General features: G+C 50.7%; 1 protein-coding gene across 1 annotated transcript in view, besides 4 other annotated features; it reads left to right on the top strand.

Moving 5' to 3' along the window:
* The window catches only part of ALX4 (ALX homeobox 4), a 49700-nt gene that overhangs the window by 3116 nt on the left and 21273 nt on the right, over nt 1–25311 (top strand). The gene's annotated exons all lie outside the window — the stretch shown is intronic.
* Nucleotides 3008–3553: an enhancer, noted in NCBI's record as "H3K27ac-H3K4me1 hESC enhancer chr11:44325021-44325566 (GRCh37/hg19 assembly coordinates)". NCBI's record gives its function as "activates a minimal SCP1, AML or CMV promoter by ChIP-STARR-seq in naive H9 embryonic stem cells {active_cell/tissue: H9 hESC(naive)}" and the evidence as "EXISTENCE:reporter gene assay evidence [ECO:0000049][PMID:30033119]".
* Nucleotides 3554–4099: an enhancer, noted in NCBI's record as "H3K27ac-H3K4me1 hESC enhancer chr11:44324475-44325020 (GRCh37/hg19 assembly coordinates)". NCBI's record gives its function as "activates a minimal SCP1, AML or CMV promoter by ChIP-STARR-seq in naive H9 embryonic stem cells {active_cell/tissue: H9 hESC(naive)}" and the evidence as "EXISTENCE:reporter gene assay evidence [ECO:0000049][PMID:30033119]".
* Nucleotides 19472–20444: an enhancer, noted in NCBI's record as "H3K4me1 hESC enhancer chr11:44308130-44309102 (GRCh37/hg19 assembly coordinates)". NCBI's record gives its function as "activates a minimal SCP1, AML or CMV promoter by ChIP-STARR-seq in primed H9 embryonic stem cells {active_cell/tissue: H9 hESC(primed)}" and the evidence as "EXISTENCE:reporter gene assay evidence [ECO:0000049][PMID:30033119]".
* Nucleotides 20445–21418: an enhancer, noted in NCBI's record as "H3K4me1 hESC enhancer chr11:44307156-44308129 (GRCh37/hg19 assembly coordinates)". NCBI's record gives its function as "activates a minimal SCP1, AML or CMV promoter by ChIP-STARR-seq in primed H9 embryonic stem cells {active_cell/tissue: H9 hESC(primed)}" and the evidence as "EXISTENCE:reporter gene assay evidence [ECO:0000049][PMID:30033119]".

Here is a 25311-nt window from a genome sequence, read left to right as displayed (position 1 = left end):
GACGCCACTCCATGCTGCCTAAGATGGAGGCACTGCTCGGGGCAAAGCCACAAACAATAAACAGCAAGTCAGTGTTTGTTCTTTCCCTCTCTCAGCAGCTGAGTCTCCCCAGCCAGGAGATGTCTGGTCCTTCTAGGAAAGGGATTAGGCGCGTTAGGTCTAAGATGGAGAAACTGAGGATACAAAAGATGAGGCTCTGCCCTTAACAGAAGTAGCCAGGAGGAGGGACTCTGGAGTGGGATCCCTACCCTGCCAGCAAGCAGGAAAACTGAGGCATGCATTGACAACGATTCTCTCCCACAGTTGTGAGAGTGTATATACTCAAAAGCGGAGAAATGGAGTTCAAGGAAAAATCCTTAGACGCTCCCAGGAGCATTGGGAAAGTCGGAGGCAGGGGCGGCCTTGGTGCCAGTACTGGCGCTGGCTGATCTCCGTCTTCAGGCAGGCAGCTGAGACCTGGCAACCATTCCTAGCCCTGGAGGTCGGGGCGAAAGCTGTTCTTTCACGTGTGTAACTACACCTAACAAAAGGGGGAAGCTCGGAGGCCTCTTCCTGGGCCTCAACTTCTGGGCCCACTCCCGGCAGAGTCCAATTGCCTCTCGGCAAGGAAGGTGCCCCGGGCAGCTGAGCCTGGGCCAAGCCGAGGGAGTGCGGGGCGGGGAAGCCGCCTCCAGTCTCTGCTGGCCGGGTCTGGACCGGGTTGCGGAAAGAGTTGGTGAGAGAAACCCTCCCGGGCTGCAAGCGTCCCTACCCCAACTTGGGCCTTCCTTTCCCCAAATGTGCTAAAAGAACGACGATTAAGGCGGCTCCGCAGTGTCCTTTGGGTGCGGAGACCGCGTTTTTACGAAAGAGCCCCCACCGAGCCCTCTTCTGTTGCAACCCAAGACTTCACCATTCTCCCCTCCAGACTCTGGGTCCGCTCTTTGGCCTCCTGAATTCCTTGCCCGAGTCCAGGGCGGGCCGCCTGGGCCACAGGAGACATGTCGGGTTGGAGATCCGACGTTTCTCAGCGACGCAGAGAGCCTCCCTGTACTCAGGGCAGGGACTCCGGCGCCTCGCCCCCAAACTCCGGATCCGACCGCCGGAGCTGCAGCCGGCGCGTACTGGTCCTAGTCTACCTGTCCCGAGACGCGGGGCCGCTGCGGGAAGCTGCCCCTCTTCTCCCTTCCCTTTCGCTTTCGATTCGGTGGCGACAGGTTTTTGTTGAAAGCAGATTGTTACCTCTCCGTCCACCCACCCGCAAAAGCAGCGCTCTCAGCGCCAAGGTCTGGGGAGGCGCGGGCCAGGTTGGAGCCCCTGGGGTGCCGCCTAGGGGCCCAGTCCCGATTTTTCGAATTAGACTCAGTGGTTAAATACCAGAGGGTATTTATTTCCCCTGCACCGACACAATCCATGCACCACGAAATGTGTAAATTCTGCCGGGGTCGTATTTGAATTTAGTTAGAGAACTGGGGTGTGTTTTGTATACAAGAGACGACCCAAAGAAGGCAGAAACGAAAACCCGACAGAAGCAGCAACAGCTGCTGTGGGTGACTGTGGGGTGATCGCAGGAAAACTCGAGCCTGGGACTGAAGCCTGCTCAGGAAGGGGCGACTGTTGTTTAATTTTGGAGGGAGGGATGGCGAAGGAAGATGCTTTTAATTTTTTACTTTGTTAATTTCCATAGCCTGCTTCACCAGTCTGGTCCAAACACAAAAGTTGTTAAATAGAAAAACAGAGGGCCTGGATTAAAACTCAATATTTTAAGTCAATCGACTTGCATGATCTTGCACAATCTTTTCTTTATTATAATTTACATATAGTGAAGTGCTTAGCTCTGAGGAGGAAAGTTGGAAGAATTGTTATGTATGTGTACACTGTTAGTTAGGACGACCATCTCGATAAAGAAACAGACCATTTACATGTTTCCTTAAACGTTGTAAAACGTTAAAGCAAAAACATTTTTTGTAAGTTGTTTTAAGAAAATTTCAGAAGATACTTCGGAGCACCGGGGACCCCATTTTGTTCCTGACAGCAGTGTTTCTTGAATAGGGTGACACTTCAGCCAGGGCATTTGCGCGGTCCCGATTCTAATGCGAAGTTCCAAGCGGCTGCGCCAGGAACCTCGCCGCGACCGCCGGGCTAAGCCGGAGTCACCAAGCCCTGAGCCGCACGCGCTGCGACGCCGGCACGCAGTAGGAAAACAGATTAAAACGCCCTACAGAAAATCTCGGCGAAGTCCCGGAGGACTCTGGTTTCTAAGATCAGCTGGGCGCACTTTCTCCGGGACGTCCCTTCTTCTCGGTCTCAGCGCCTTCCTGCCCTCAGCCGCGCGCAGCTTTGTTTTGGTGGCAAACTGAAATAAGAAATGGAAATATATTGGCCTTTGCTGCTGCCAGGGATGAGAGGTTGTTGACGTCCGGCGCGTTTGTCCGGGCTTCGGGCTTCTCTGCAGACCCCTGGACTGGGGTGCCTGAGGCCAGGAGAGGAGGGGGATAGTTGCCCGGAGCCCCCGCGGCTCAGAGGCCTTGGGATGATTCATGGGGGGGGCGCGCCCTGCCTTGGTGAGCCTCTCGCCCCGAGGGTAGGCGAGGTGGGTGGGTAGGGGAGTGTATGCCGGAGAGAAGAGAGAACGCTTAACCAGAGAGAACTTCCTGCCCCCGGAGCCTCAGCGTCCTTAGCCCCCCAAACCCCTGTTCAGGAAGCCGAAGGACCTAGGCCCAGGCAACGGTTTGGGGTGGGGCGGTAAGAGCGCCGTCCTGCACCCGGACGTCGCCTGCCAGGCGCCACCTGGCCATGTGCGCCCGCAGCGCAGGGTTCTCCGGCCATCAGCACAGGTCCTCACCGAGGTGACAGTCATCGGATTGGGAAACCAACACTGCGAGGACCCGGCTATGTGATGATACCGTCCGGGGGAATTCGAGTGGAAGCCGACCGTCCTGTGGTGCCACTAGACAGGTGAGAAGCAGCCCTTCCAAACAGGGCCCTTTGCTGGAAGGAGGAGGCACCTCTTTCCAGCCAGTGAGCCTTCCCAGCTGCAACCGGGGTCTTCTCTAATATCAGTTACCGCGGCCTCCAGAGGTGCAGCCCGGCACACCTCTTCTCTGCAGATGTATAAACCGGGGACACCCCCATCTCCATTCAAGATGCTCCTTCCTCACCCAGTAGAGGGGTGCGGAGTAAACCCGGGACAACAACTTGCGTGCTGCCTGGAAGCAGGTCCCTCAGAAAGGATGACAAAAATTTGGTGATGCGGAAGAAGCTTCCACTGTGTCCAGGAAAGGGCAGCGGCCCCCTAGTTGCACCGGCCCTGGCCCCGGCCCCCACCCCCAGCACGTTCTGTCACCTTAACAAAGAGCGGCTTCTCCACCTGACCCCAACCCGCACCAGCCAGCGCCGAGGAAAGAGAGGAATGGAAGGGAGTTGTGGCTCAGCGGCGAGGAAGAGCCACGCAGAGGCAAGGCTCTGAGGAGCCAAGGCTGGGGTGTGTAGGGTGGTACTCAGGGCCGCGGACCGGTTCGGATTTGGACTCCAGAGGCAGTTGGAAGGGTCACCGTGGCGCTCCGCGGCTCCCAGGGTGCCGTTTTGGTGAGGAGGGGGTCACTGGGAGATACGGGCGGGGTAAGAGGGGCCACCGGCTGCCAAGTACCTATCTTTCCCGGTGAAGGCGCCGCTTGTACTCGGGACCGCTTGGTCAAGGCTGCTGGGCACTGGCGCCGCTGCACATTGGGGGCAGAGAGGGAGCCAGTGCTTGCTTCATCGGATTCTTAAAGCAGATTCTTTAAGAGTGGATTTTCATTCTGAACTGGAGGCCCAGCATGGATGTTGGCCCCACGCACCTCGTAGAGGGACAGGACCTGGTGACCCAGGTCAGAGCAGAACAACTGGCTCTCCAGGGCTCTGAAGGCCACAACAGAGAAGGCTGGGAAGCTGTGGGAGGTTTGGACCATGACACTGATGTCCAGCGCGGCACACGTGGGGACCGGGGCCCACAGTTGCGGTGTAGATCACCCCAGCCTCCACCTTTGCATTCTCTACTCCTCCATGGCCTTGGAGAAGTATGTTCTGCTCCGGGGTCTGAATTTTAGCTGTATGAAATGCAGGAGTGTTGACAATTTCCAAAGACCCTCTTGGAGTTTCTGTGCTGGTAGCAGTCTGGGCCCACCTTCACCCCCTTTGTCTTCCCTCCTCACCCCCACACGCATTTTTGTCCAGGAGAAACTGGGGTAAGGTGGGTGGAAAAGGCTTCCCTGGAGGCTAACACAGGTCCTGAGTGGGGAGCCATCACAGGACACAAAGCCGGCTAGAGGTCCTACAGGGCCATGGTGGAATGCAGGTTCTGGGCTCAGGACTGGGATGCAAATAGGGAGGGGGTAAGCAAGTGTCTTTGTGACCAGGCTCAAGCTGAGGCCCCGGGCTCATGGCCCCTGTGTCCACTCATCTTCCCTATCCCAGTATTTATGGAGCACCTTCCCTGGGCGGACCTTCTCCTAGGAGGTAGAACATGCCAAGTCCCTGCCTCCTGTGTTACGGCTTATGTCCTTCCAAGTGTTTTGTACAGTTGGGCTTAACAAATGTTCGCTGGCTGGAAGAATGAATGAAGAACTGGTGTCTCCTGCAGTGTTGCCCCCACATGGTTAAGTGCACCCAGGAGCCAGCTTAGGTGTTTGTGTGAGCGTGTGCACAGCATGAATGTGAGCGGTGTGTGCCGTGCCCATTCTCTCTGGGTCCACGTCCTGCTATCTGAGTGTTTCAGGGCGAGGCCGAGGGTTTGTGTGTAGTCCGGTGAAAGGCATGTCTGTCCTCTGGCACTTGTGTCTGTGTCCCCCAGTGTGCGAGCCTCAGGTGTGCAAGGGTGAGTACCCGTGTGCACGGCTCTGGAGCTTCTCTGGGTCTGTGGGTGGCATAGCCTCTGCCTCCAGAGGCGCCCCCAGGGAGAATGACTAAGCGCCCTTGCATCATGGCCTGTGGCCTTCCTGCCCCTGGTCATGGCTCCCAGGAGCAGCTGACTCACCGAGTGGCAGGCAGAATCTCCCTGTGGCAAGTCCCCGGTGGGGCCCAACCACCCCCCGCGTCATCCTGGGGCCCTCGAACATGGTCCATCCAGCCCACCCACACTGCGGCGAGGCCGTCTGACAAGCCACCAGCTCTGGAATATACCCTCTGTCCCGTGTGGCTCACTGCGGAAGAGACGTGTCCTTGGCACTGTCTGTGCCCACTGCTGACCCCATTTAGCACATGAGCAAACTGAGGCCCAAGGGGAAATGGACCCCCACAGCCAGGTTAGTAGGAGGGCAGGAACCCACCGAGTTCTCCTCCTTCCACTACAATGGGTGGAAAGGCAGAAAGTGTTGGGGAATCCAATCCACTCACCCGCTCTCTTGTTGGATGCGACTCCTGCAATAAGTCCAGTAAGTTGCACTCTCTCTGTGCATCAAATAGGGCAGATGCTTGCAGTTCTGCCTCAGTCTCCTTAGAAGTAAAGCAGACCCCGCCATGAGCTCCTGGGCATTAGAGGACAGCAGGAGAGCACCCGTGGAATCCCTGGTGGGATTGCAGGGACCTGACTCTAATGCAGCCCCACCAGGCTGGGACTCCTGCTCTCTGCCCAGCTCCCCAAGCTGGGTTTTCTTTTCCTAAGTTCTTGAAAACCACAAGCCAGGGTCAGCTGAGGCCAGATGACCAACTCCTCCCACTGTGTAGGACTGTCCACCAGGCCCTGAGGGCCTTTGGTTACATCGAGGAAACTGGTACCTCCCCTGACCCTGCAGCACACACACAATGGGTCATGGTGACATGTTGGGGGGTCTCACTCAAGGTTGGAAGAGATGGCAGTCATCTCCTGGCCCACATGTCTTATTTCACAGACAAAGGGGACTGAGAGGCTTGATTCCATTTACGCAAGGCTCACCAAACTTTGCCTGTCACTATGCCAAGCCTTGTGGGGTATTCTGGGAAGCTCTGGATGCAGCCCCTGCCTTCAGGTCCAGAGGCAGAGACAGACAAGTGACCTTGAAATTCCAGTTCAGTGGGATGGGCCCTGAGATGGGGAAAGCCCTGACTCAGGCTCTGAGGAGAAGGTCAGGCTGGCTTGCCCTGGGGCGTGCAGGCGCCACCAGGGTTTGGTAGCTTACTGGAAGCCACTTAAGGGGAGGGTGCAGGAAAGTTGGGGGAAGTTGGGATTTGTCCAGGCCAATGAGTTTTCTCTAGTGGCTGGAAATCCTGAGGCTTCTTCTCTCTTGACTTTCTCCTTTTCTCCCTCCATGCTTTCTCTTGGTTTTTCTATGGAAATAGTCATGTATAACAGCCCCCTTACTTCTCTAGTGCCACTCCATTTCTCCCTGTGTTGAATGGCACTTTGGCCCTGTCCCACCTGGGAGGGGAGTATGAGGAGGATGTGATGATGGAGAGAGGTAGTGTGTCTGCCCCGTACATCCTGCACCACCAGGTTCTCTGCCCCACCCCTCACACTATACCCTTTGAGGGTGCTAGGATATTGCAAATGATAGTGGTGGGGTTCTGATCAGGTTTTAGAGTGTGTATGTAGAGTTTGGGGTCCTCCTGGATATGTGAGCCTCCCCGATGTCTCTATGTGGCCACAAGGATCCATTCACACCTGGCTCACATCCCAGCATGGAGATGGGACAACTCCAGCTCCATGGCCTCTGACTTCAAGGAGGGAGCTCACTTTCAAATGGGGAAGACAAACATGCACATAGCTCTACTGCATGGCTCCCCTGTTGTGGCCTCAGCCTCCCCATCTCTGAACCTTCTTCATGGGACTCAGTGGTTTCAGAGGCCTTGGGGTTCTGTGATATTCACCAAGAGGGGTGAATTGGCCCTCCAGAATCCTCAAGATGCCTCAGGACCCCACACTCTTCCCCATTCATTGTACCAGGAAAGGGGGAAGGCTGGTCCAGTCTGCCAAAGGTTAAGAGTCTGGGATGCCAGGCCTGGCTCCTGGCCTGAGTTTTCCCATCTACAGGACAGAGACAATAATGGGTTTTAAGGCAAAGAAGGCTTAGAGTTGGCTGCTGCTGCAGAACCATGAGACAGCCCAGAACAACTGAGCGTCCCTGCCTGTGCGCCAGGCAGTACACCAGTGCTGCTTATGCATGATTTCACTTAATCACCATCACAATCCTATGAGATTGGTACTATTATCATCCCCATTTCGTGGATGAAAACTGAGGTTCATGGAAGATAAGTAACTCGTCCACAGTGAGACAGCCAGGAAGGAAGAGTCGAGTCTTGCTGGCCGAGGGCTCCAAGAAACCTAAAAGGCATCCTGTTCTAGAATGATCCTGATTAGACTTGAGATAACCCTAATTCCATCCCAGATGATGTGGAGATGAAAGACAGGGTCTTACAAACATGGCCCCCAGGGCACGGTGCAGTGGCTCATGCCCGTAATCCCAGCATTTTGGGAGGCCTAGGCGGGCGGATCACAAAGTCAGGAGATTGAGACCATCCTGGCTAACACGGTGAAACCCTGTCTCTACCAAAAATACAAAAAATTAGCCGGGCGTGGTGGCGGGCGCCTGTAGTCCCAGCTACTTGGGAGACTGAGGCAGGAGAATGGTGTGAACCCGGGAGGCGGAGCTTGCAGTGAGCCGAGATCCTGCCACTGCACTCCAGCCTGGGTGACAGAGCAAGATCCATCTCACAAAAAAAAAAAAAAAAAAAAAAACCATGGCCCCCAAAGCGTTCTTCTCAGCTTCACAACCGGGGATGCAGAAGACAAGTAGTGTCAGGAGTAAATTTCGGCACCTGTCAGGTTGAAGTTCTACACCTGACTCTGTGACCTTGGGCACAGCTTCCTCACCTGTACCAGGTGAAAACAGTGTCCCAGGCATGGCATAGGGCCTCATAGCTGGTATGAGGAATGACTGCATGAGTTTCCAGAAGTTTCAGGAACATGAGAGAACCTCTGATCAAGGTAGGGTGGAGCTGAGGAGCATCTGTGGGAACAGTGCCCTCTAGGAAACATGAGAGACCGCAGGAGGCTTTGTCTGTTTTGATTCCAACTTTCCCCAGAGCCTGGAGCTAGTCTATATAGTAGATGCTCAATAAATGTCTGTTGCTGAGTGAATGAATGAAGGGATCTTACAGGAGGGGAACATGCTAGGAACTCTGTAAGTCTTTCCACTCTCTCTTCGTTCATCCTTCCTTTGAATGGAGGCCTGGGGTGAGAGCCTGCTTTGTCGTTCTCTTGCATTCTGGTAGAAAATTATTGATTTTTTTTTTTTTGCAGGGTTTCCTGTGGGGTGTAGGAGCAGCGAGGCTCTGGGTAGCTCTATTTAGCACAAGTCTTGGTCTTCTCCAACTCTAGCAGTCGGAGGAGTACCCCTTTTCCTCACTGCTCCTCTTTTGGGTCTCACCCCACTGGCCACAGGCCTGCGGTCTGACTGCCACAGCCCCCGGGGTCGGCTCTAGCCAAATGGTTTTCTCCCTTCATCCCCAACTCTCCTCCTCAGGTCTCCCCCATTCCCTACAGTGAGTTCCGTGTCCTGCCCGCTGGCACCCCCATTCCTGCCACCTGCCCAGGGTGCTGCCTGAGAGCTGCTGAGGTTCCTCCCTTAGTCCCCCATTCACTCATCCTCCACCCTGGGATTCTGAGACTCACCTGCAAGGGATGCAGCCCTCTCTTCTGGCCAGGATGCCATCTGACCTCACCCGGGTTCCCAGCAGGGCATCCGGCTCCAAGGCCTGGGCTCTTCCCAGCACACCCATGATTCCGTCCACCCGTCCCACCCCGGCATATGCAATCTGAGGGCACTTGAACATCCATGGTCCCCTGAGTCTCACCAAAGGCCTAGGTGGAGGAATTGAATCTCCATTTTACAGATGGAAGCCAAAGTTCAAAGAGGGGGAACAGCTCAGAAGGAATGCATGGAGGAGTGTGCGCCTGGCAAAAGCTCCTCCTTACATCCAACAGATCCTTCAGCCTGGCACTTCTGTGTCAGGCAGGGACCAGAGTGTTTGGCAGTGAATGAACTGGCTCCTGCCCTCAGAGAGCCCATAGCCTGGTTAGAATGTGCTACATGCCATGGGAATCCCCAGGGAAGGTGAATGGATTGGGGCTTCCTGAGCATGGACATTCGAAGTGGACCTTGAAAGTTGAATAGGAGCTCACCAGCTGAAGGAGATGAAAGAGGCCCTCTAGACTCAGGAAACAGCACAAACTAAGTCTTCGGGTAAGGGAAGAACATGAAGCAAGTGTGTGGAGTGCAGGGGCATGATGCATGCCGGTGAGGTGGGCTGAGGAATGGCAGGGGCACAGCTGAAGAGAGCTTTTTATTTTATTTTATTTTATTTTATTATTTTTTGAGACAAGGTCTCACTCGGTCACCCAGGCTGGAGTGCAGTGGCGCAATCTCAGCTCACTGCAACCTCTGCCTCCCAGGCTTAAGTGATCCTCCCACCTCAGCCTCCCAAGTAGCTGGGACTACAGGCTCGTCACCACGCCCAGTTAACTTTTGTATTTTTAGTAGAGACAGGGTTTCTCCATGCTGCCCAGGCTGGTCTTGAACTCCTAGACTCAAGTGATCCTCCCGCCTCAGCCTCCCAAATTGCTGGGATTACAAGCATAAGCCACCGCGCCTGGCCCCTGGGCCATTTATTTTCTACCAAAGGGTTCAGACTTTGGGGAAGCCACTGGAGGGCTCTGAGCAAAACAGTGAGACCCCAGGCTGAGTGTTCTTTGCATGGTTCAGTATGGCCTTTGCTTTTTGCATTCAAAATCTTTATTTTAATTAAGAATGAACTTTTTATTGTGGTAAAATATACATAGCATAAAATGCTACCACTTTAACATCTACAAGTGAACCTTTCAGTGGCATTAAGTACACCCACAATATTGTGTAACCATCACCACTGTTTCCAGAACTTTTTCATCATCCCAAACAGAAACTCCATACCTATTAAACGGGAACCGCCATCACACCCTTGACCCCCCACCCAAGTGACCTCTATTCTACTCTCTCTCTGTGGATTTTCCTACTGTAGGTACCTTTTTTTTTTTTTTTTTTTTTTGAGACAGAGTTTCACTCTTGTTGCCCAGGCTGGAATGAAATGGTGCAATCTCAGCTCACTGCAATCTCCACCTCCCGGGTTCAAGCGATTCTCTTGCCTCAGCCTCCCAAGTAGCTGGGATTACAGGCACCCACCACCACACCTGCCTAATTTTTGTGTTTTTAGTAGAGATGGGGTTTTGCCACATTGGCCAGGCTGGTCTTGAACTCCTGACCTCAGGTGATCCACCCGCCTCAGCCTCCCAAAGTGCTGGGATTACAGGTGTGAGCCACCGCACCTGGCCTTAGGTACCTCTTATAGGTGGAATCATACAGTATTCTCCTTTGGCGTCTGGCCATTTGTGTATCTCCTTTGGAGAAGTGTATTCAAGTACTTTGCCCATTTTTGAATGGGGTTGTTTGTTTCCTTGTTCTTCAGTCATAGGAATTCTGGATATTAATTCCTTTTCAGATACATGATTTGCGAATATTTCTTCTCATTCTATGGATTGTCCTTTCACTCCCTGGATACTGTCCTTTGATGCACAGAAGTTTTACATTTTGATGAAGAAGTACAATTTTTCAATTTCTTTATTTTGTTGTCTGTGCTTTTGGTGTCATATTCAAGAAATCGTCAATAACTCCAGTGTCAGGAGGATTTTCGCCTATGTCTTCTTTTAAGAGCTTTATAGTTTAGCTCTTAGGTTTAGGTCTTTGATGACTTTAATTTTGAATATGACGTAACATAAGGCTCTCCAACTTCATTCTTCCTTATGGGGATATCCACTTTTCCCAGCACCATTTGTAGAAAAGATGGCCCTTTTCTCATCGACCGGTCTTGGGACCTTTGTTGAAAATCAATTGCGCATGTATTTGAGAGTTTACATCTGGTCTCTATTCTGTTGCATTTGTCTATCTGGCCCCTGAATGATCTTCTGATGTGAAGTCCAGGATTGCAGAATGTACAAGGACCCTTGTAGGCCATCCGTTCATCTCCTTGCCTGCAGGCCAGTGACCAACAGGTCACAGAAATTCAGCTCAAGGACACATTTGTTTTCCGGGACCTGGAGCTGGTGAGAAGGGGTGGAGGGCAGAGCCAAAGGCGAGGACTCTAGAGCCACAGTCTTGGCCCTGGCTAGGCCCCTGGATATTCGGGGGCCCCTCTGCCCCTTCAGTTGACCATCCCATGAGGACGTGGCCTTTGGGGAAATTCTTTTGTGCTCTGAGGGTCTATACACCCACCTCCTGAGATGCGCACATCTGGGACCACTTCCTTTATTAAGATGATTCCAGAATCCTTCCAGCGGAGCTTGGAGGAGCTCCAAGAAGGAAGCATCCAGTGGCTCCATGCTGTTGGCCCCATGCATATTTTGAAGATTTTCTGTTAGATTCCCAAAAGAGGCACTTGCAACTCCCTGTCCCCTACCCTAGGCCATCCAGTGAATGGCACAACCAGGGGCTGGGGCTCCAGGGACTAGACAGCAGAGTCCAAGGGGAGCACAGCTGCAGAGAAGTAGCTGTCCCCGGCTCCCCTTCCTAGGAACTTCCCCGGCCTAGGTGACTAAACAGAGGCCTGCTTGAGCCTGGTCTTCCAGCCATGTGCCCTAAGGCATAATTTCTAGGGTTCTTGGAAAATCATGGAAACTGTTCATTCCACAATTGTGCTACACAGGCTGCTTGATGCTTCAGATGCCTTTGGTTTGGAGAAGCCCATGAAGCTCAGGACCTGGAAACAGATTTCAGCCCACATAGCTGAGTGACCTTGGGCAAATTAGTTGACCTCTTTGCCTCAGTTTCTTTACCTGTAAAGTGGGGATAAGAATCATGTCTACCTGTTAGTGATAGGGTGAGGCTTAAATAAGGTAAAATAGGCAAGGACAAAGCCAGGTGTGGTTGCTCACATCTGTAATCCCAGCACTTTGGGAGGCCGAGGCAGGTGGATTGCCTGAGGTCAGGAGTTTGAGACCAGCCTGGCCAACATAGTGAAACCCTGTCTCTACTAAAAATACAAAAAATTAGCTGGGCGTGGTGGTGGGCGCCTGTAATCCCAGCTACTAGGGAGGCTGAGGCAGGAGAATCACTTGAACCCAGGAGGCAGAGGTTGCAGTGAGCCGAGACCACACCATTGCACTCCAGCCTGGGCAAGAAGAGCGAAACTCTGTCTCTAAATAAATAAATAAATAAATAAATAAATAAATAAATAGGTAAGGATCTTAGAACAGTTCCTGGAGCATAGTAAGTGCTCAGTCAATGTTAGCTGTTATGATTGATAAGATTTTGCTGGAACCTTGACTCTATCAGACTGGCCGGAAACCTTGACAGGCAGTTAAAGTTGACTGGGATGCATAGAGTTGGAAAATGAAGAAATTATTACTGAATCTATGATTACTGTGTGGTTGACATTGTCTTTTAAAACATGGATGAGTGATGGGAGGGGCGGGGGCTGCCATCTCTACCTAACGCAGCGGGGGCAGGCTTCAAGGAGGGACAAAGGCCACCCAGGCCCCTCAGGCCCCTCCTCCCCATAGGCTGCTGCACCTCGTACACATGTGTCATGAGCTGGGGAATAACTCTCTCCCTGCTGAATGTGTTTTCTGTGTTTATTTGACCCAGAACTTCAGCCTGTCCCCAGGGCAGGGGTTCTGCTGTGTTCCTCTCTGATCAGCACAGGGCTGAGCACAGAGAATCGGGCTCAGGGAATGTCAGGCAACCTCTGCACCCTTCCTGGGCCCCAGCTTCCTGGGCCCCATCTGCAATTAAGAAAGCACCTGGTGGGCATTGCCCTTGGCCACACCTGGACTGAGACTTTTTGTGGAAACCCACTGGGAGATATTAGTATCCTCAATTTGAAGATGAGGAAGGTGAGGCTGTCCCGCTGTGAATTGAACCCAGATCTCCTGAAGCCAAAGAGCCTTTTTCCTCCCCTGCCCAGGGGGCTCATGCCCACTGCCTGGATGCCCTCATGCCTATGTGCCCATCAGACTTGACCAGCATGTGAGAGCTCTGTAGACGGTGGAGGGGGTGCACTGGGAGGGGTTTTCAGCACACTGCATGTTGTACGTGGGCTACACCATCTTCGCCCATCTACTGAAATGATGACCATGTCCCCTGACCGCCCAGACACCACTCCCTCCTCCCTCCAGAGCCATCCTGAGAACCAGGCCAGCCCAGCCCAGGACCCCCATGTGATATGTGGGAGCAGCTCCTGTGGGTAAAGAAGGAGGAGACAAACCCTTCTAAACAGAACGAGTAATAGCCTCCTCACTAGCCCAGTGTTGGCGAAGCCAGGGGCAAGAGGCCAGTTTGGAAATATTACTTGTACCATGTGGCAGGTGGACAGTGAGGGCCAGGCCTCCTCAGGGAATGTATGTGCCCAAGCTCTGCTGTATTAATGCATCCCCCAGGATTTAGCCCCATGAGAGAAGATTCCACAGAGCCCAGTTTTGTGCTACACAAAGTATCCTCTCAGGAGATCTATCCCGTTGCAGGGGATCCATCCTGCCAAGAAGTAGTAACAGGTGGAAAAGAGATGTATTTGTCTCACGTTCGCTGTGGATTAAGGTTTGCTTGGTAGAAGGGACACACCATGCATTATATATATATTTTTTTTTCTTTTTTTAAGATGGGGTTTTGCCATGTTGGCCAGGCTGGTCTCGAACTCCTGACCTCAGGTGATCCGCCCACCTCAGCCTCCCAAAGTGCTGGGATTACAAGTGTGAGACACTGCACCTGGCCACATCATGCATTTTAAAGAAGAGACTTTTTTGAATTTTTTATTTTGTTCAGATGAGCAGAAGTCAATGAAAAAACCATTTTCTTCCTTCCTTCCCTCCCTCCCTCCCTCCCTCCCTGCCTGCCTGCTTCCTTCCTTCCTTCCTTCCTTCCTTCCTTCCTTCCTTCCTTCCTTCCTTCCTTCCTTCCTTCCTTCCTTCTCTCAGACAGGGTCTCACTATCACCCAGGCTGGAATTCAATGGCTAAATCATGGCCCACTGCAGCCACAACCTCCTGGGCTCAAGCAGTTCTCCTGCTTCAGCCTCCTGAGTAGCTGGGACTACAGGCTTGTGCCACCACGCCCAGCTAATTTAAAAATTTTTTTTATAGAGATGGGGGTCTTACTGTGTTGCCCAGGCTGGTCTCAAACTCCTGAGCTCAGGCAGTCTGCCCACGTTGGCTTCCCAAAGTGCTGGGATTACAGGCATGAGCTACCATGCGGGGCCAAAAGAACCATTTTTAACTAACATGTTAATTGTGAATGCTGAAACATTGATTATTTATATTTTATCCTTACTATATGTGATAGGCAAAATCCTGGGAACCCATCTACTCCAAATCCCAGTCATTTATACAAAAACACCAACCAAAACTTTTAGGTATAATTATCCTTTAGATATTTTGAATTGTTAACTATTTTATAGTTGTAAATGTGGATTTTTTAAAAAGCAAATATTGAAGAATCTTTCCCATTCTTATCAACTTTAAGGAAGTTGATGACTTTCCTAAAGTACAAACTAGGACTGGGCATGGTGGCTCATGCCTGTATTCCAGCACTTTGGGAGGCTGAGGTGAGACAATTGCTTGAATCCAGGAGTTTGAGACCAGCCTGGGCAACATAGTGACACCTCGTCTCTACAAAAAAAAAAAAAAAAAAAAAAATTTAATTAGCCAGCTGTGATGTTGTGTGCCCATAGTACCAGCTACTCAGGAGGCTGAGGAGGGAGGATTGCTTGAGCCCAGGAGGTTGAGGCTGCAGTGAGCTGTGATTGTACCACTGTGCTCCAGCCTAGGCAACAGAAAAAAAAAAAGCAATCTTATAATTAATTGAGCCATTACTTTCCCTTTCTCATCCAAGGGGAGAAAAGCCTTGTTGCTTTTTCAGTTTGTAAGTGATTCTCTAGATTGGAATGAGTATATTTGGGCCAGGCGAGGTGGCTCACACCTGTAATCCCAGCACTTTGGGAGGCCGAGGAGGGTGGATCTCGAGGTCAGGAGTTCAAGACCAGCCTGGCCAAGATGGTGAAACCCCACCTCTACTAAAAGTACAAAAATTAGCCAGGTGCAGTGACCAGTGCTGGTAATCCCAGCTACTCGGGAGGCTGAGGCAGAAGAATGGCTTGAACCTGGGGGGCAGAGGTTGCAGTTAGCCGAGATGGCATCAATGCACTCCAGCCTGGGTGACAGAGCGAGACTCCGTCTCTATAAATAAATACATAAATAAAAATTAAAGAAGGAGCACATTTGAGAAAGAAAAGATTTGATGTTGGTGAAAGCAGCACATTCTTTCTGGGATCATATGCTGCTTCTGCAGGCTAAGAAATTCAATTGTTTGGCCAGGCGCAATGGCTCATGCCTGTAATCCTAGCACTTCGGGAGGCTGAGGCGGGCGGATTGCTTGAGCTCATGAGTTCAAGACCAGCCGGGACAACAAGAGTGAAACCCTGTCTCTACTAAAACACAAAAAGCCAGGTGTGGCGGCATGTGCCTGTAGCCTCAGCTACACGGAAGGCTGAGGCAGGAGAATCGCTTGAACCCAGAAGGCGGAGGTTGCAGTGAGCCGAGATCGCACCACTGCACTTCAGCCTGGGCAGCAGAGCAAGACCCTGTCTCCAAAAAAAGAAAGAAAGAAAGAAAGAAATTCAATTGTTTAAGATTAGCTCAATTCAGCACGTACTTGGGTGCCAGACAGTGACAACAGGCAGGGCGAGTGATAACGCTGCCTCGTAACACCCCTCCCCTGCCCTTGGTGAGGGCACAGTCTAAAGGCAGAGGCTGCCGTGAATCCACTCTTTAAAAGTTTTTTTAAGTCTATATAACCAAATAAATTTAACATTTGATTTTTACAGCAGTTGCCAATGTTTCACCCCATTTATAGTCTTTGTTATATGTATGTGAAATGGGCCCTTCATTGAAAGGGACCCTGGGAGCTACTTTTGACAGAGGTTTATGGTTCATAAATGTCATTCTGGGAGCTGCCGCTCGGGAAACCTGAACTGGAGAGGATGCACCTGGGGAAGGAAGCAGGTGGGGGTGACACAGTTGCAGGCTGAGCAACGTTGCCCTGGCTGTCAGCTGCCACGGCCAAATTCATCCCCAGATCATAACTGTGTTAATATATCATGGCAACGTCCCATTGATAGAGTGGGTGCCGTGTGTGGGTCAGGGGATATGCCGTCTTGCACTCTACTTCAGTCAGACCTCACAGCCATTCTGGGATGTGGATGTTCTCAGCCTCATCTTACAGATGAGGAAACTGAAGCACACAAAGGTCAAGTCACTTTTCCAAGGATACCCTTCTGTGGCAGAACCACAAGGTGGCTTGGGAGCCTCCTTAATAATCTCCTTTAGTCGGCTCCCATTTCTTTCATGGGGAAAACTGGCATTCCCTAGTCTTATGTGAAGCGTTAGCTAAACACAGCTTCAACAGACCTCTCCAACAACATTGCTGCTTCAAAACACCTCCTCTACAGAGATCTGGAGTCGCCCCAAGGCTGGGCTAGGTGCCCCTGCCCTGGTCACCACCCTGCACTGTAACCATGGCCCCTGTCACTGAGGCGAGCCATTTGAAGGAAGGGACTGTGTTTTACTGGGCTTTATATTTTCACCACCTGGAACTTTGCCCAGTGCATAGCTGGTGCTCCAGGAATGCTGTTGAATGAATCAATGTAGCAAATAAGTGGCAGAGCCAGGGGCCAAGCCCAGGCCTGTCCTACCCCAAAGACTTCTCAATCATTTCATTTTGCCTCGTGCAGGATCTAAGCTCCTCCATCTCGCCAGCCTCTGGATGAAAGTGATATTACAGTGTCTTGGTGAAGGTGGTGGAGCTGCAGGATTCTTTCTGCTACAGAAGGGAAACAGAGGCTTGGGGGAATTAAGTGAGAGATGTCTTGGGACACGCCCAGGGCCACATGGTTTAGGGGGCTTGAGAGGGACAATGGGCAGACAGACCACAGGGCTGGATGCAGGAGGTGCAGGGTTCAAGTCCTGGCCCTTCCATTATCAGGCAGTATGACCTTGCTCTGGGCCTCCGCATCTTGGCTGTGAAGGGAGGGTCTGGTCCAGTGGGGTCTCTGAACCCTGCGGACGTATTGCTGGGATAGGGGAGAGCATGGGAGACTCTGTTTCTCTGGCAGTGGGTCCTGCCGGGGACAGGGTCTCATCCAACCACCCACGCCATGAGATGGAGCTTGGGGATGGGACGAGGAGCCGGGAAACTTCTAGCCTCCTTGAGGAGAGAAGCTGACAGGGGCACTTAGAGCCCAGACTGAAGCTGGAACACCCATCCCACCCCAGGAGGCATCAGGAAGTGATCTCCAAGTGTTAGATCATACATGGGCTTCTCATGGAGACCCTGAAGCTTGGTTTACCCTAGTCCTTTGAGATAGAAATGACCCCAGTGGCTCAGCAATGCCCCCTTAGAACAAAATGAAGCCTGCCTGACCCCTCCATGTTAGAAAGATAACTCATCACCACCTTGAAAGGCAGTGGACTTGGCATGGGACCATCCAGTCTGCCCCTCCTAGCTATGTGATCTTGAGCAAGTTATTCATCTTCACTGGACCTCAGTTTTCTCATCTGTGAAACAGAGATACCAACACTGACCTCATGGGATCTGGGGAGGGTCAGAGGAGATAGTGGGTGGGTCAGGGCAACACGAATACAAGGCATTACATTATTGCTGTCATGGTTGTAATCAGCCCTGGTTGGAGAGCTCCTGTCTAAGGAGCTTGGTAATTTGGGATTTGCCCTATTTGGGGTGAGGGGATGGTATCTTGGTATCTTGTTTTACCATAAAATGCAACATGCCTTGCCGAGCCTTCCTTGACTGGCAATACCCAATTCAAGAGCCACTCCATTGCAGAGGCCTTCTCCGACCTTTTCAACCAAAATTGACCGCTCCTTTCTGTGGGCCCTGCCGTGTCTGGGAAACAAGACTTTTGCCCTGGGGACCCTGGAACACTTGACCGTGCTTGTCCCTCATGCATCTCTTCCACTAGGCCATGATTCCTAAGGGAAGCTCTGAATGAATCAGTAAGGCAAGACACAGGGTGGGGGAGAGAACAGGAAAGACAAATTCCAGACACAAGCTGGGGGATGGAGGGGACCCAGGCCTTGGCAGAGGGGCCATGGGGGCTGAGGGCTGGACAAAGTTTAGGGTTCTTTCTTTCCACCATTTCTTTTTTTTATACAAGGAAACTTTACTCATTTGGACTAACTGTAGGACAGTTGAAATTACAGTAGACTCAAAAATTAAAGTACTTTTTAAACTTTTAAGTTCCAACAGTAGCTTGACCTTGGTCTCCTACAGCTCTCAGAAGAGCTGCTTAAAGGAGCCCCATGTTCTAATTGGGTCACAGTGGCTTCCACGGGAGTGAGGGCTTCCAGAGGGCTGGGGAGCAATGTGTGCTCCCAGAGTTGGCATTTGTCTTGTGATTTTTATTGCAACGTACAAGGCCCCTTGTAGAATTATGAATGGTGGTGGTGATGAGGGGAAGGCGGGGAGGTTGCCAGGTAAACTCATCCAGGTCCTGTTCAAATGATTACATATGCCAGCTTCACAAGAGGGGTTCCTAGGGAAGGTGCCTTCTTTCCATTAGTCCACATACCTTTTCTTTTAAAAACCTTTTTATTTTGATACAGTATTACACTTAAAGTTATAAGTGGACTACAAAGAATTCCCAGATGCCTTTTATGCTGACTCCCCAAATGGTGATGTTTTGCCATATTTGCATTATTTTCAATCTCTCTGGGTCTCTCTCTGTGTCTCTCTCTGTGCATATGCTCTGTTTATGTATGTATTGATATACATGCATACGATATACAGCTGTATCATTTAACAGTAAGTTGCAGGCTGGGCGCAGTGGCTCATGCCTGTAATCCCAGCACTTTGGGAGGTCGAGGAAGGTGGATCACCTGAGGTCAGGAGTTCGAGACCAGCCTGGCCAACATAGGGAATCACTTGAACCCGGGAGGCAGAGGTTGCAGTTAGTCAAGATTGTGCCACTGCACTCTAGCCTGGGCAACAGAGCAAGACTTTGTCTAAAAACAAACAAACAAAAAAAGAGTAAGTTGCAGACATATGACTCATATGCCTCTTTGCCTCTAAGTACTTCAGTGTGTGTAGGCCCTGAAACAAGGCACTGGTCCACATCTGAGGTCCCAGATGGTCAATGAAGTTGATCTTCAGCAGAGCAGTTTGATCAGGGGCAGCCTTGAAGGTTGTTGCAAGGGGGCCAATCTCTTGAGGCAGCTGAGAGCAGCCATTCTCCTGTGACTTCCTCCCTTCCTCCTTGACCCTGTCTCCTGTCTGCCTGTCCCAGTCCCACCCACAGCATCCACCCCAGGAGGGCCCAGTAGGCATGCTCCAGGCATGAGATTCAAGTCTCAGCTCTGCCTCTTACCAGTTTTTTGTTTTCTTTTCTTTTCTTTTCTTTTTTTTTTGAGACAGGTCTCTGCCTCTGTCACCCAGGCTAGATGGAACTCTGGGGTCAAGTGACTCTCCCACCTCGGCCTCCCAAAATGTTGGGATTACAGGCATGAACCACCACCCCTGGACCTTCTTAACAGTTATTGATTCTTAGCAAGGCATTTACCCCCTCTGGCCTCAGTTTCTGGGGCTATAAAATGGAAACCTGGCGGTTGTAAAGAGGCTGGAACCCTACTGGTGGCATAATAGATGCCCTAGTACTTTGTAAAGTACAAAGCCCAGTTCCTGGTTTTGTTTAGTTTGTTTGTTTGTTTTTTGTTTTTGCGAGAGCCCAGCATTAATCCCTTTTCGTTCCTGGACTCTGGGAAGCCCACTCCATCTCTAGACTAAGAGAAAAACAGTCCTCCCCACTCACCCCTGCCATTGCAGGAAGAACTGAGAGAGCTTCTGTGTGAGGGCGGAGCAGTGGAGGACGGGGTGGCAGACCCTGCCTCGGCGGATGCCTGCCTCGGGAAGAACCCACGGGGAAGCTGGTAACAAGTCTGCCAGCCACATGGAAAGCCGCTGGGCCAAACGACAGGGGTGTCCTAGGGAGCTTTTGCAAGGCAAAGGCTTTTGCAAGTTAGTCAGTTTCCTGAGCACCCACTGTGCGCCACCCTCTCTGGAGGGCCAAGGAATCCCCATGGGTCTCCAAAGGGAGGCCACTTAAGGAATGAAAAAGAGCCCAGGTCTCAGCCTGTCTGTCACTCAGTCACTAGTGACACTGGTGGGTCCCTTCTCTCGGCGCCTCACTTTGACCGTCTGTCCAATGAGGATGCTGGGGCCACAGTGTGGGAATTCTGAGGAGACTGGAATGAGGCAGGAATGTGAAAATACCCAGAACTAGGGGAGGAAAGACCCCTGCAAGGAAGGCCAGCGACCCGCCCCATCCATCTCTTTGTCCCTTGTAGTGCTGGAATGGTGGCAGACGCGTAGTAGGGCTGAATTACTGCTTGAGTGGCAAATCCTCCCAGCTAGGACCTGGGTCTTCAAACAAACGTCTAGAAACCTCATTAGGCACTGGGGCCCCAGGATCATCACCTTCCGTCCAGTGACTTTATTGGAACTGCAGTGCCTCCTGGTGGCCAGCATGCACAACTGCAGTCTTGATCTTGGCCTGCTGGGAGTTGGGCCCTGGAACCTGAATGCTTAGCCTTCTGGGTAAGCAGCCAGGGCCGGGGACTCCTCTTCAGTCTTGGCTTCCCACAGGGCTGTGCCCCTCCATCTCCTCTTCTCATACCCCTCCCTGGCAGGAATTCATGCAATGTTGTTGAGCTGAGCAAACAGAAGGCAAGAGGTTTGTCCAGGGCCAGGGAGCTGCCGGGGTCATCTTTGGTCCTTCCTGCCCTGCGCTGTGGCTGGTTTCCTCGACCCCCCTCATCCTGAAAGGTCCCTTCTTCCGACTCCATGCAGCAGCCTCCTGACACAAGCAGTGTGTGCAGGGGACCAAGGACCTCCTGTGTCTGGAGCCCAGCTCCAGGGCCTGGGGCCTTTTCCTGCAGACACACTGGCCACCCTCAGCTGTGCCTGCAGAGCTGCCCCAGCCAAACCAGAGGCAGAAGGAGCCCAGAGGAGTCTCCCTCAACCCAGGCACACACAGGCATTTGCATTAATTCCAGGGGTGTGTCCTGAGCCCTTACTCACACGAGGCCCAGGCCCCAGCAGTACATCTGGGAGGCCCACTCTGACCAGCTCACAGTCTAGGGAGGGAGCAGGCCCATGAGCCGGTGCTGTAAAGCAGGGGATTCAGTGTTTAAGAGGCAAGGGAGGTCCTGGAGGAAGAAGGGTGGCCCTTGGCTGAGCTTTGAAAGCCCAGGAGAGGGAATTCACAGCAGAAGAAAACAAAAAATAAAATGTTCCATAGTTAAAAAATAAAAAAAAAAAAAGGAAAGACAAGATCTCACTTTCATCCATCGTGCTGGCAAAGATTTTAAAAACACTATAATGACCATTATTGGCTCTGAAGTGGGAGGGGACACCGTGGTAGCTGAGGACATTACATGTTTCTGGAAGACAACTTGGCCGTGTTTCTCAGAGACCCTCAGATATGTGGATAATTGAACTTCATATTTCTAGTTCTTGGAGCTTCTCCTAAGGGAATCGCCATGCATGTATTGAGAGATTTAAATCACAGACCTGCTATGATTTCAAACAAGTAGAAACCTGTGAGCCCAACAGAAAAGGATGGATTAAATAAAATAGTGATTGTTCTCGCTACGTAACCATTAAGGATGGTGTGGTAGAAGAATATAGAACAGCATGGAAAGGGGTACGGAATATGGTTAGATTTTACTAAAATGTTTATAGGCTGGGCACGGTGGCTCACGCCTGTAATCCCAGCACTTTGGGAGGCCCAGGAAGGCAGATCATCTGAGGTCAGGAGTTCGAGACCAGCCTGGCCAACATGGCGAAACCCTGTCTCTACTAAGAGTACAAAAATTAGCCGGGCGTGGTGCTGGGTGCCTGTAATCCCAGCTACTCAGGAGGCTGCGGCAGGAGAATAGCTTGAACCGGGGAGGCGGAGGTTGCACTGAGCCAAGAGTGCACCACTGCACTCCAGCCTGGGCGACAACAGCGAGACTCCATCTCAAAAAAAAACACAAAAGTTTACAAAGTAATGTTTTCTCTGTGTGTGTTTGTGTGTGTGTGTGTATGTGTATGTGTGTGAGTGATTTTCTTTTGGTCTGTCTTGATTTTTTTTTAATCTTCCATATAGAACATAGATTACATTTGTAATGCGAAAGAAAAGTCACAAAAGTTACAGAGAAAGCTATCCAGGTGAAAGTAGTAGTTAGCCACAGACAGGAGAGGCAGAGAGACATGCTAGGTAGAAGGAAGGGTGCCCGCAGGAGTGCGGAAGCCTGAAGATACTCGTGCAGTGCGCTGCAGAGCGGAAGCAGGTCTCTGAACCTCAAGCTAGATGGAAGGCTGGCGTGTAAGTCCGTGAGTCTGGTGGGGACCAGTCCTGCCTTCGGGACCCTGAATGCCACATAAGCCTGATGTACAGGGTTGGCAGATTTAGCAAAAAGCAAGCAAGCAAACAACAAAACCAGGTTACTCAGTCAAATCTGCATTTGAATAATGAATAATTTGTAGGATAAAAGTATTTCTTGTGCCATATTTGGGATATACTTATATTGTTTAAAGTGTTAACTGTTTATCTAAAATTCCAGTTTAACTGAGTCTCTCCAAGTGGTGCTTGTCTCTTGCTTCCCATAATCCCACAGCACAGAGCCCAGCCCGCTCTCAGAGCATGCACCATCCAGGATTCTAATCACTGCTTTCAGATATTTCAACCTGTTCCTGGGAAAACAAATAGAAAATTAATTCAGACCAGCCCCGCCCCGCCCCCCAAAAAAAGAAAAGAAACAAAATTAACCCATAGACCCATATTGCCACTTCTGGAAACTTGTAGTATTTTCTGAGGACAAATGCTCCACTCCCTTCCTCTTTTTGATCAAAATGAGATTTATTTGATATAAATTGAACATCTTTGCATGTGTTAAAACGCTATCCTTTCTTAGCATCATCTCATTCATTTGTTCATCAAATGTTTACTGAGCATCTACTGCATGCCAGCTATGATACTAGGTGTTACACAGCAGGGTAAACAAAGCACACATGTTCAGATATATTCCCTGCTCCATGGGAGGGAGAGAGAGAGAGACAATAAACAAGGGGAAAACAGAAGAACAAATAAATACCTAATATTGGCGCGGTGGTCCATGCCTGTAATCCCAGCACTTTGGGAGACCAAGACGGGTGGATCATTTGAGGCCAGGAGTTCAAGACCAGCCTGGGCAACATGAGGAAACCCCGTCTCTACTAAAAATACAAAAATGAGCGGGGTGTGGTGGCCCATGCCTGTAGTCCTGGCTACTCAGGAGGCCGAGGTCCGACAATCGTTTGAATCTAGGAGGTGAGGTTGCAGTGAGCCGAGATCGAACCACTGCACTCCAGCCTGGGTGGCAAAGCGAGACTCTGTCTCAAAAAAAGAAACAACGTGCAGAATAAAGACTATCAGGAAGGATCTTCCATTTATGGAAATATCATCCTTTATTTAACCAATCCCCTATTGTTGAATATTTTGATTACTGTCGGTTTTCCTACATATTAAACTATGACATGATGAACGTTCTCTCTAGTGAATGCTTACCATCATTTATTGAGTAAATTCCTAGAAGTGAGATTTCTGGGTGAAGGCATATAAACTTTTAATTTAGTTTTTGTTTTATATATATGAACACAATTTTGTATTTTCTTTTTAGTTACATTTTTTAAAATTTGAAAACAACATGCTGTAAATTTTTTTTTTTTTTTTTTGAGATGGAGTTTTGCTCTTGTTGCCCAGGCTAAAGTGCAATGGCATGATCTCAGTTCAGTGTAATCTGCACCTCCCGTGTTCAAGCGATTCTCCTGCCTCACCCTCCCAAGTAGCTGGGATTATAGGTGGCTGCCACCATGCCCGACGAATTTTTGTATTTTTAGTAGAGATGGGGTTTCACCGTGTTGGCCAGGCTGGTCTCAAACTCCTGACCTCAGGTGATCCACCATCCGCCTCTGCCTCTCAAAGTGCTAAGATTACAGGCGCAAGCCACCACGCCCAGCTGTAAAAAACTTTTTGGTATATACTTTTATGAGTTTTAACACACTCATGTATAGATTCATGTATTCACTGCCACAGTCAGGATACAGAATAGTTCCATCACACCAGTGCAAGCCCTTTGTAAACAAACCTTCCCCCTCCTCCTACACCTGGCAACCAGTGATCTGTTGCCTAGAGTCCCCGTAGTTTTGCCTTTCCCAGAATTCATGTGCTAGCTGAGTGCAGTTGCACTTCATGTAAATTTGAGACTGGCTTTGTTTACAGACCCTAAGGCCACCTTTCAGATTCATCCATGTCATTGTCAACAGTTCTTTCTTTTCACTGTGGAGTCGATCCATGGCCTGGATAGACCACAGCTTGCGTCTCCATTCCCCTGTCAAAGGACACTTGGGGGTGTCTCCATTTCGGGGTGATTCTGAATAGAGCTGCTGCAGACATTTGCCTATGGGTTTGGGTTCCTCTCCTCTTAAAATAAGTCATTATTTCTGTAGGGTAAATACCTAGGAGTGGGATTGCTGGGTCATGAGGTCAGTGTTAGTTTAACTAGATAAGACACCGCCCAAGTGTTTGCACTGTGATGGATGGGAGTTCCGGGTGCTCCATACATCGCCGTAACTTGGCATCATCAGGTCTTATTCCCACTGTGATAGGCACATAGTGGTATCTCATTGTGCTTTTAATTTGCATTTCCATAGTGGGTAATGAGGTTGAGCATATTTCATGCTTATTTGCTCCCTGTAGATCTTCTTGGGTGAAGTGTCTGCTAGAATATTTTGCCCACTTTTTGTTAAATATTACTATTAACTACACTCCACACTTTATTCAGATTTCACTGGCTTCCCCCAATGTCCTTTTACTGTTCCAGCATTCCCCCCAGAACACATTGATTACACTTAGTCCTCATGGTTCCTTGGCCTCCTCTAGTCTGGGGCAGTTTCTCAGACTTTCCTTATTTCGAGAGCATTTCAGGGCTTGGGTTGGTGGCTGTGGGTGAGCAGGATGGCCTGTGCCACTGGCTAGCCTGAGGACTGCCATTTCCACCCCACCCTCTGCTGAAGATTGGCAGCCCCTTGAGGGCCGGGACACTGTCTGTCTCTGCAAACAGCTGTGCCCCGTGCATGTGTGCTGAAATCTAAGCCCAGTCACTACTACCCCTTTGGCATTATTTATTGGGACTGGAGCTAAATTAGGGACATTCAAGTTGAGCTCTGGACAGACCCCAGTGTCAGATGAGGTGGGGTGGGGACGTGAT

Source organism: Homo sapiens, chromosome 11 (assembly GCF_000001405.40).
Source record: "Homo sapiens chromosome 11, GRCh38.p14 Primary Assembly".
Classification (NCBI taxonomy): Eukaryota; Metazoa; Chordata; class Mammalia; order Primates; family Hominidae; genus Homo; species Homo sapiens.
Note: the sequence above shows the minus strand (reverse complement) of the source record. Positions and strands in the feature narration are given on the sequence as shown.